The 11239-nt window shown below is 51.8% G+C and overlaps 1 long non-coding RNA gene across 1 annotated transcript, besides 1 other annotated feature; it reads right to left on the bottom strand.

The window, feature by feature from the left end:
- Positions 6263-7257: an enhancer, noted in NCBI's record as "OCT4-NANOG-H3K27ac-H3K4me1 hESC enhancer chr17:42617132-42618126 (GRCh37/hg19 assembly coordinates)". NCBI's record gives its function as "activates a minimal SCP1, AML or CMV promoter by ChIP-STARR-seq in naive and primed H9 embryonic stem cells {active_cell/tissue: H9 hESC(naive and primed)}" and the evidence as "EXISTENCE:reporter gene assay evidence [ECO:0000049][PMID:30033119]".
- LOC105371791 (uncharacterized) lies at positions 9164-10781 on the bottom strand. The gene is made up of 3 exons (XR_934779.2): positions 10629-10781; positions 10157-10266; positions 9164-9196 (listed from the first exon to the last, which is right to left on the bottom strand). It is a non-coding gene; the product is annotated as an uncharacterized LOC105371791 (long non-coding RNA).
- Positions 10782-11239: the final 458 nt, after the last annotated feature.

Genomic DNA, 11239 nt, shown 5'->3' with positions numbered 1-11239 from the left:
CTAGCCTTTTCTGCTCACTGCTAACCTTTCACTGCTCAAATCTAACCTTTCACTGCTCACTGTAGTGTCTGGGACTGCCCCATCAGAGCTCCTGCCCAGGGATAAAGTTTCTGAAAGCTGAGTCCACATGCATCAGTCCACATGCTGAGTCCATTATGGCAGGAGGGGAAATGGGAACTGGGGTTTGCCTGTTAGGAATATAGATTCCTGGGCCCTGCCCACTTATCCAAATATACCATCCCCAAGTGATTCGTACGTTCACTCTAAAGCTATCTGCTTTCCAAACCTCCAGACCATTCAATTAGCTTTCAGAGCCCTAGTTACTTTTTTTTTTTTTTTCTCTTCCAGATGAGGTCTTGTTCGGTCACCCAGGCTGAAGTATAGTGGCACGATCACAGCTCGCTGCAGCCTCAAACTCCTGGGCTCAAGAGATCCTCCCACCATTCCCACCACCTTCCTATACTGCAGAGGTTGGAAGCCAAAAACCTCACCTCTCAGCCTCCCTTGCAGCTAGAGCTCTGGATGCAAAATACGCTTATTTGAGATTTGGAAGGTGGAAGGGAAATGAGGTCATGTTCTTGCTGCAGTGGCAATTTCTAGTGATCCCTAGGTGCAGTTACCTTGGCTTAATTACAATGGAAGCCTTTTTTTTTTTTTTTTTTTTTTTTGATAGAGTTTCACTCTGTCCCCCAGGCTGGAATACAATGGTGTGAACTTGGCTCACTGCAACTTCCCACTCGCGGGCTCAAGCGATTCTCAGGCCTCAGCTTCCTGAGTAGCTGGGATTACAGGTGTGCACCATCACACCCAGCTAATTTTTGTTTGTTTAGTAGAGACAGGGTTTTGCCACGTTGGCCAGGCTGGTCTCAAACTCCTGACCTCAAGTGATCTGCCTGCTTTGGCCTCCCAAAGTGCTGGGATTACAGGCATGAGCCACTGCAACCGGTCCCAATGGTAGCCTCTTGATCCCCCTACCTGCTAGTGGCAGAGGTAGCAGCTTCTACTGGAGGGTCATTTCTGTGGCTTCGTGACAAAGTCTACTCCTCCAGGCCATCCAAGTTTCACAAACACCTAGTTTCCTGCTTGTTTTAGTCTGCTTGGGCTCCATAACAAAATACTACAGATTGGATAGCTTAAATGACAGAAATTTATTTTCTCATAGTTCTGGAAGCTGAAAGTCTGAGATCGGGATGCCAGCATGGTTGGATTCTGGCGAAGGCTTCCTTCCTGGCTTGTAGATGGCCACCTTCTCAGTGTTCATGTGGCCTATCATTGGTGTGTGTAGGTGGGGAGAGAGAGGTTTCTCTCTGTTCCCCTTATAAGGCCACCAATCCTATCAGATTAGGGGTGGGGACCCTCCAACCTCGTTTAACATTAATTACCTCCTAAAACCCCTATCTCCAAATACAATCACATTGAGGGTTAGGGCTTTAACATATTAATTTTGTGGGGCCATAATTTAATTTCGTCTATATGTATTGCATCTTTTTTTTTTTTTTTGAGACGGAGTCTTACTCTGTCACCCAGGCTGGAATGTGCAGTGATGCGATCTCGGCTCACTGCAGCCTCGACCTCCCAGGATCAAGCAATCCTCCCATCTTGGCCTCCTGAGTAGCTAGGAGCACAGACACATGCCTGGCTAATTTTTTCTATTTTGGGTAGAGATGGGGTTTCACCATGTTGCCCAGGCTGGTCTGGAACTCCTGAGCTCAAGCAATCTGCCTGCCTCGGCCTCCCAGACTGTTGGGATTACAGGCATGAGTCACTGCACCTGGCCTGAATCTCTTTTTTTGATAAAATACCTAGAGCCATTCCACCACTGTAAATCCTTGAAGTCCCCTTCTCTGTGGTGCTTCCCTGATACCACCCCTGTCCTTTCCCTGAGTTGATGTTTATCTTATGGCATTTAGCATGTGGCATGTGTTACCTACATATGTCTAACTACAGCCTCCCCACAGCCCAACAAGATAATCTCTTGAGGGCAGAGGCTGTGTCTTAGTTTTTGTGCATACCTTAGTGCCTTGCATATCATAGGCACCCAAGAAAAAATTGTTAAATGAATCAATGCTCTCTGTAAATAGGGCAAGGTCTGAAGAACTCCCTGAGCTGGGTAATCTAGAGACACAAGCATCCTGCCCTGGACAGCGAGCCCAATTCCCTTTCCATACATTCTGCCCTGCCTCTGAAACCCACACTTAGGGAGGGGAGAAGCTCAGCTCTGAGGATGAAAAATGAGCAAGGTTTCTAGGACGCAGATTTCTAGTCTCCAGTTTTGACAAGTATCTAGTTTCTCAAAGCCACATTTAATTACAAATATGCCCTGTCTCTACAAAAAAAAAAAAATTAGCTGAGCATGGTAATGTACACCCATAATCCCAGCTACTGGGAAGGCTGAGGCAGGAGGACCTCTTGAGCCCAGGAGGTCGAAGCTGCAGCGAGCTGTGATTGCAGCACTGCACTCCAGCCTGGGTGCCAGAGCAAGATCCTGTCTCAAAACAAAACAAACAAAAACAAATCTATTCTGATCTCCAATCTGAGAAGGGGTGAAGTGACAAATAAATCTGACATCATCGTGAGAACCCATGAAGTGGACGTAGGACACCTGAATGCTCGTGTCCTGGTCTTGGTGCTTAATACTTTTCTGACCTTCAGTGAATCTTTTCTCTGAGTATCAGTTTCTCCATCTGAAGAATGGGCACAATAAGTCTGTCCTGTTCCCTGTGAAGTGAGGACTGAAAGAGAAACTGGATTTGTAGGGACAGTTGCTTTGGGAAAGGAAGCTCAGATGGTACATGCTGCTTTGTAACCCAGAAGCAGAATATTAGCCAGAGGTCAGCCTGGGAGCCTGGACACAGGCACCTAGGGCAGACCTAGTCACGAGGCAGCATGCTAGGCAGACCACTGTCCTGGACTTGGACTCAATGGATTCAGCTCTGCTTCCTCACTGCATTCCCTGAGATAGGTCACTCTCCCTTTCTGAAGCTCTGACTCTTCATCGATAAGATAGGGACACTAATCTTCTCTTGAAGGGTGGGGAAGATAAGATGAAGTGGTAAGTGACTTCACATAGTGGATGCTCAATATAAGCCTTTAGTGTTGGTTTTTCCTGCTCTCAGGCAGAGGCAGCTGGAGAAGGAAGTTTGCTGGGGAGTTGGGGCAGGTGTCAGACTTCTAAGACCCTGGGGGTTGGTTGCTTTCTCCCGTGACTGGATCACTGATTAATCCTTGAGGAATCTCGAGGCCTAAGGGTTGGTAGTCTAGAGGGACAAATATGTGAATACTGGTTAAAGAAAGAAAAAATCTACAAGGGACTTCAGTTTTGGGGATAGACTGATATAGCCTCTTTGAAGCTGGGGCTGACCCAGTCACTCTGCAAGCATCTGGTTGTGCATACCTTAGTGCCCCTCCTCCAAACTCTTCCAAACATCTCTAAGGGTCCCAAAAGGGTAGAAATGGACTCATTCAGAAGTGAAGAAAGAGATCAGGGCCGCAGCTCTCCATAGCTCCTGTCAGGCCCCTTGGGAGGAGCCTGAATGCTGGGGCAGCTTGTGGGGGGGACTCCAATGATGGAACCAGGAGAGGCAGTTCCTACCTTGTGGATGGGGGTCACTAGGAAGGGAAGAAAAACACTTCCCTCCTCTCCCCGGGAAGCTTTCCTTCCCTGCAGCTGGTGCCCCAAGGATCCCCGCCCCCCATCCCAGGCCCTTCCCTTAGAGAGAGCCTGCTGAGCCTGGAATGAGAAGAATCTGAACTACAAACAGACCTCCCAGAGGCACCCCCAACTCTTCTCTAACCACTTCTAGCCAGCAAAAGGCTGGCTTCCTGGAGTGGAGGCAGGACTGGGGTTTGGGCCTTGGAGAAGGGGCCTAGGTAGGGGCGGTGGGGGGATATTTTTTCCTGGAGAGAGAGGGGAGGGAAAGGTTGAGGTCAAGATAAGGACCAGGTCATACAAGAACCATTTTCCAGGCAGGGCACGGTGGCTCAGCACTTTGGGAGGCCAAGGTGAGCAGATCACTTGAGGCTAGGAGTTTGAGACCAGCCTGGCCAACATGGTGAAACCCCGTCTCTACTGAAAATACAAAATTAGCCAGGTGTGGTGACAGGTGCCTGTAGTTCCAGCTGTTTGGGAGGCTGAGGCACAAGAATCACTTGAACCCAGGAGGCAGAAGTTGCAGTGAGCCGAGATCATGCCACTGCACTCCAGCCTGGGCGACAGAGCGAGACTCCATCTAAAAAAAAAAAGAACCATTTTCCAAACCAAAAATCATCAGAACCAGCGAGAGTATACTTGCAGGGGCTATGAAATTGGGGGTGTGAAATTAAGCCTGCCCCAGAATGATCCAAGCTATGAGGTCTGTGCCCCAAGAGTGACAAGCAATTGCCCAAATCCAAATACAACCTAGGAAGACAGAAAGAAACTGTTGGCGCCCCTGCCCCCACCCCCACCCCCTTGGCCTCTCTCTCTTCCTGTCTGAAACATTCAGTTGAGGTGGCCTCCAGGGCACACGCTCTCCCAGCCCTGTCTGGGCTGCATAACTGAGTCTAAGAAACCTGTGAATGGGCTTTGGGGAGTTGAGGGCAGGGGTTGGAAGCAGAGGGAAGATGGAGACACCAGCCAAAAGGACAGATGGCACAGAGCCAGAGGAGCCCCTCATGCCTGCCACACTTCCCCAGACCCTGGCCTTCTGCCCACTGTCCCCCTAGCATCCCTCCTCTCACCTGGACCCAGTCTGGGGCTTTGATGTGAGTCAGCCAGGGCTGTCAGTGCCCAGGGATGCCAGGCAGTGTACCAGTGGGGGAACCCTGGGGAGGGGACCAGGGAGGAGAGGCTGCTGGAGCTGGAAGCCGCCTTAGGCACGATGACCTCTTTGCAGGGGCCTCTCTCTCCAGCTTGTATAACACAGCTCCTGCCAAGGGTGGTATAGAAAGGCACAGAGCCCACAGCGGGCTGGGGAAGGCGGCTGAAAAGGCAGCTTAAGGGCTTCCTGCTGGGTGAGATGGATTAGGGGCCTGTGAGGAGGGAGCCGGGCAGTGAGAAAGGCACCGGCCCAGCGCCAGAGCCCCTTGGCCAAGACCCTCTGGGAGCAGGAGGCCCTAGGTGTCTGGCAGGAGGCAGTCAGATCAGCATCCTCCACTTGGCCGAGGGGCTGGGAGGATGGGGATCCAGCCGGAGCGACACACAGGGATGGGGAGCTAGACCCCGGGGCCCCCAAAATAGAGGGGGGAAGGAACGGAGGAGACATTTCTCGATGAAGAAGTGGACTTCTAGCAGGAAAAGGGAGGAGGGAAAGAACTGACTTGCCCAGCGATTCTATCCGTGTCATCCCGCTGCCTCTCAGAGTGAAGGTGTCATCCCAGAGGTTTTCTGCTGGGAGGGGAGGGGACAACCCTTCCTATCCTCCAGCCAGCCCTCTGCTTCTCAAGGACCCCAGTGTGGAGCTGAGAGAAGGGGACCCACATGGTCCTAAAGTTTCCACACAAGCACTGATTTAGGAGAAGAGTGCAGGTGGCCACTAAGACAAGCTGTGCTATTGAGAAACCCTGGGTGATACCTTGGACGGTGACAGTCTCCGGCTGGTTTTGCTCTGGCCTTGGGCTCCATTTGTCTAGTCTGTGAGATGGGATCCCTGAGGCCACACCATGGAGTGGGATGAGCATTGGCAGAGGTGTCAGGGGATCTGACTTAAGCTCTTGGAATCTTGATTTTTTTCACCAAATATAGAAAAGAAGAGTCTGTTCCATTGATTAGATAGTGTATCATTAAGAGATGACATGTGGCCCAGCGTTGTGGCTCACGCCTGTAATCCCAGCATTTTGGGAGGCTGAGGCGGGTGGATCACTGATGGTCAGGAGTTTGAGACCAGCCTGGCCAACATGGTGAAAACCCGTCTCTACTAAAAATACAAAAATTAGCCAGGAGTGGTGGTGGGTGGTAGTCCTAGCTACTCAGGAGGCTGAGGCAAGAGAATCACTTGAACCCAGGAGACGGAGTTCGCAGTGAGCCGAGATCATGCCACTGCACTCCAGCCTGGGCGACAAAGTGAGATTCTGTCTCAAAAAGAAGAAAAAAGAGAAAGAGATGTCACGTGCATTGTGGAAATTGCAAAGTGTGATATGGACATGAGGTATCACTATCCCTGAAGTGCTTGTGTGTGTGTATCCATCCTTTTGATAGATGTTCCAGGGGAGGGGAGGGGACACACTGAGAACCAGGGACTGCCATACGGGATGCGTTGCATCTTTCCATATCTTCACAAGGATTTTGAGAGGATGATATTGTCCCCATTTTACAGATGAGAAAACTGAGGCTCAATAGCTGATATAATTTGCCCAAGTTTATAGAAGCTCATAAAAGGGGGCATCTGAATTAGAAAGCAAGATTCTTGGGTCTCTAACAGGTTATGTGGCCCCAGGGTCTGGAAGCATTATTCGTAGGTCCCTATGTTTAGAGCAAAGATTTCCCCAAAGGTATGAGTCCTTCTTCTCCCTCTAGTTAGGCTCAGTTAGGAACTAACTTGGATTCACAAAATCCATCTCCTCAGAGTACAAAGGTTAGGGAGGGTTTGCAAAGTGGGTGAGAAAGTCTGAAATGGGCCCAGATGACCAGATAAGATACATGGCCAATGGGGACATTCTCTAGAAGGGGATCCAGGGATGGGTACTTCAGCCTCAGGGCATCCGTGGATCAGAGCTGCCCCGTCTCCCATCTCAGCGGGGCCAGCCCCCTTCTTTGTGCTCTTTTTTTTCCCACAGTCCAGCAAGGGGGGTACTGGGATCCCAGGCCCACCCCCTCCTGCTGGGCAGCACCCCATCAACCCCCACATAAAAAGCTTGAGAGTGGAGAAGGAGGGGGGCATTCTCACTCTGAGGAGGCCTCGGCACCCTTCTCCCTTTCTGGGGAACAAGAAACTTGCTGATGGCTTGGGCCCCTTCCCCAGCCCCTGGCCCCAGCCCTGGCTCCCCCAGACAAAAAGCTGCTTTACATGAGAAGAGCGGGCTGGCCTGGCCTTACCCGGGCACTCAAAGAGGCGGTAGCCCCTGACAGCCGCAAGACTGCCCCTTCCCCCACGCCGAGGCCTCGTTTAGTTGCAATTAGCAATTCTTTGCATATCCCCCCACGGGGCTGAGAGGGACGCTCGCCCTCACCTCCCAAACCCAGCCTTCAACCTTCCGAAGCCTCCCAGCCGCGGCTCCCATCACTCTCCCCTCTCCTCCCTCCTCCCCAGTCTCCTCACTGCCCCACCCCCAGCTCGCAAACTAGCTCATCGGCTTCCTGAGTTCTCCAAAGAGGGAGGCACCCAGAGGGGCCAAACCTAGGGTGCTCAGGGTCAGGGTGGGGGTGACCCCCTCCTCGATCCACACTGCCCCTTCCCTCCTCCTTTCCCACTTGCCACCCCCTCTCCAAATCAGGCGTAGCTTTTGGATCACTGGGAGGGGAAAGATAGAGGGAAAAGACATTTTAAGAAAGAGACCTGGGGCTCACGCCTGTAATCCCAGCACTTGGGGAGGCCGAAGCGGGCGGATCATGAGGTCAGGAGTTCGAGACCAGCCTGGCCAACACGGTGAAACCCCGTCTCTACTAAAAATACAAAAATTAGCCAGGCATGGTGGCGCACACCTGTAATCCCAGCTACTTGGGAGGCTGAGGCAGGAGAATCGCTTGAACCTGGAAGGCAGAGGTTGTAATGAGCCGAGATCGTGCCACTGCACTCCAGCCTGGGCGACGGGGGAAACAAAACAAAACAAAACAAAACAAAAAACAAAACAAAAAAAGAAAGAAACAGATCTGAGGGTGAATTGGTGGTGCAGAGATTCGGGGTGCTTGAGAAGGGGAGGAGGCTCTGTCTCGGAGGGAGTCGGGGACTCACCTCTTCTCCCCAGGCTGGTGGGCCTCTCCTTCATTCAGAAGGGCTTCTCTGCAGGGCTGGGGACCTAGAGCCCTCTGATGCCACACCAGCCAGGCAGTGGTAGGGTGGTGCAGCTTTGGAAAATGACTAAGAGGAAATAGAACCCCAGAGCTCTTGTGTTTAGGCTCACACAAATCCACTCCTCAGTATTTGGTCCACCTGAGGCGGGCGTGGGGGTGGGGGTAGGGGAGGGGAGGGAGAGTCAGGAACGTCTTCAAGCCCTTGATCCACATTAATTTTCCCCAGGGCCCTCCCCTCCACTCCCCCAAGTCTCCCGTGGACTTTTCCTGACCCCACCAAGGGGAGCCCCCGGTACAGCGGGTGCTCTAGAGCTGGCAGAGAGCAGGGGACCAGCCAGGCCTGCACTCCCCACACCCGTAGGACCTTCCTTTCCCTGTGGACTGAGACCAAGCATCCCTGGGGGAGAAGACCCCTTCTTTCAGCAATTCCATCCTTTAATTCTGCCCTGGCCTTAAGTGGGGGTCTGTGGGGAGTGGGGTATGATGTGCAACAAACACTTGTGGTCTACCTGGTGGTTAAGGGGCAGAGCAAGGCAGAGGGACTAAGCCCCCTCCCCTAGGGTCATCTCAGCTCCAAGTGTGGCTTTTATGGAGGACTCAGGGATTCCTGGCTGGTATGCTGCTGGTGAGGGGCATCTCCTAGGGGTCTCTAGGATTTATGGAAGGAAGAGGGCAGGACTGATTTAGAGGCATAGCAGAGGCTCATGGTTGAGCTGAGATGGGCTGGGTTATTTGGGGTAGTCCTCTCCCCATTTTAAGTATTGTAGTGTACCCTGCACTAGGGGGTGGGCAGGCATGGCTTAGGTTTAAGAGATAAAGGAGAAAGATCTGGCTCCTTTTGAGAGGTGAAGCTAGCTGGACTTTCTGGGTGGAGTGGGGGCTTGGAGAATTTCTTGGCTAGCTAAAGGATTGTAAATGCACCAATCAGCACTCTGTAAAAACGCACCAATCAGTGCTCTGTGTCTAGCTACAGGATTGTGAATGCAGCAATCAGCACTCTGTAAAATAGACCAATCAGCACTCTGTAAAATGGACCAATCAGCAGGATGTGGGCAGGGACAAATAAAGGAATAAAAGCTGGCCACTCCCCCCATCCCCACCCCCACTCCCAGCCAGGAGACCCAACCCGCTTGGGTCCCCTTCCCTGCTTTGGAAGCTTTGTTCTTTCGCTTTTCCCAATAAATCTTGCTGCTGCTCACTCTTTGGGTCCATGCCATCTTGAAGAGCTGTGACACTCACTGCGAAGGTCCACGGCTTCATTCTTGAAGTCTGTGAGACCAAGAACCCAAGAAGCCTGTAAGACCAAGAACCCATGGGAAGGAACCAACTCCAGACACACTTTTAACAACCTGTGATGGGCTCTCAAAACTCACATCTTAGGCTGGCGTGGTGGCTCACGCCTGTAATCCCAGCACTTTGGGAGGCCGAGGCGGGTGGATCACGAGGTCAGGAGATCGAGACCATCCTGGCTAACATGGTGAAACCCCGACTCTACTAAAAATACAAAGAAATTAGCCGGGCATGGTGTTGGGCACCTGTAGTCCCAGCTACTCAGGAGGCTGAGGCAGGAGAATGGTATGAACCCGGGAGGCAGAGCTTGCAGTGAGCTGAGATCGCGCCACTGCACTCGAGGCTGGGCGACAGAGCGAGACTCCGTCTCAAAAAAAAAAAAAAAAACCTCACATCTTTGGAACCTGGCCTGACATCTCAGAACCAGGGAGAAAACTGCAGATTGACTCTCAAAGAAGGGGTTCATTGGAGGCCTCAGGTGTTTCTGGAGAAGTAATCACTCATGATTATTTCCTAGGGAATTTGCCTCCCTTTCCCTTCAGAAGTCCCCAGCCATTGTTTGGGAAGAAAAAGTGCCATTTGTTTTTCATTTTTTTGAATTTTTAATTTTTAAAATATTTATATTTCATTTAAAAAAATAGAGACGAGGTCTCACTATGTTGCCCAGACTGGCCTCGAACTCCTGAGCTCAAGCAATCCGCCTGCCTTGGCCTCCCAAAGTGCTAGGATTACAGGCGTGAACCACTGCACCCAGCCTAAAAGTGCCCTATAAATGAAAGAAGGGATGTAAGTTCCCAGCTGGAGGTGAGGGGGTGGAAGAGGTAACTAGGAAAGTGGGAACTGAGGTCCTAGCCGGTGGGAGAGAGGCGCCATCTCGGGCTTCCTCCTCCAAATCTATCCCTGAGGCTTTCAGTACAAGCCTGGATTCCAGTTCCTCACCAGCGCCGGGCGAGGCTGGGCTTCTGGACCCCTGGGACGCTGCCTCATTCAGCTTGCTGAGAAGCTCCGGGTCTCTGGACCTGTGAAGACCTCGTGGCCACCCAGCTGCCCTGGGAGGAAGGAATTGAATGGGGGTCAAGTGTTGGGAGGTCTGGACAGGAAGCAGTTGTGAGCCAAAGGCAGGAAATGCTCCTTAGGAGCTGTCCTCCCACAGCTAACCTCCTCTGAGAAGATTGTTCACCACCCTCCCCTCCAGAGCAAGGAAATGAGGACAGAGGGAGAATGAGCCAGGGGCCCTGCCACTCACTGCCACCTCCCATTCCTGCTCACCAATTTCTGTAGTCTGTCCAGGTCCAGACCCTCCCTAGCCTAAGGTGTCTGGAGCTCCATCTGGCTGACAGCCCCTCTGTCTGGCCCCACAGTCAAGGCCCTCACAGTTTGTGGTCAGCAGGCCTTGTCTCCCTCCACTCACCCAGGAGCACTGGGCACCCAGCCCCACTGCTGGCTGGCCTTGCCTCCCTGGCCTTTGCTGTTTTGGCCTTCGTGTTTCCCTCTGCTCTTCTCCCCAGGGCAGAGTCCCACAAATCTTTAGAAATACAGCTGGAACCTGGAATCCGCTGAGACAGCTTCCCTGAAACTCTCTCCCTCAGGAGTTCCCGCCTCTGAGGTTCCTACACCAAGTTGTTCTCACTTCTTAAAACACAGACCACATGTTCCCCTGCTTTAGAATATTCAAATGATCCTGTCTGTCTTCCACTGAGCTGAGAGTTCCCAGAGCAGCTCTGCCCCACAGAAATAAGATGGAAGTCACAGATGCCATTTAAAATGTTCTATCCAGCCTGGGCAACATAGTGAGATCTCACCTGTTAAAAACAAACAAAAACCTACATAAAAGTTAGCTGGGTACAGTGATGCATACCTGTAGTCCTAGTCCCAATGACTGAGGAGTCTGAGGCAGGAGGATAGATTGAGCCCAGGAGTTTGAGGCTACTGTGAGCTATGGGAAAATTAATTTTTTGAGACAGGGTCTCACTTTGTCACCCAAGCTGGAGTGGAGTGGTGTGAACACAGTTCACTGCAGCC

Source organism: Homo sapiens, chromosome 17 (assembly GCF_000001405.40).
Source record: "Homo sapiens chromosome 17, GRCh38.p14 Primary Assembly".
Classification (NCBI taxonomy): Eukaryota; Metazoa; Chordata; class Mammalia; order Primates; family Hominidae; genus Homo; species Homo sapiens.
This window is presented reverse-complemented; position numbering and strand designations above follow the sequence as displayed.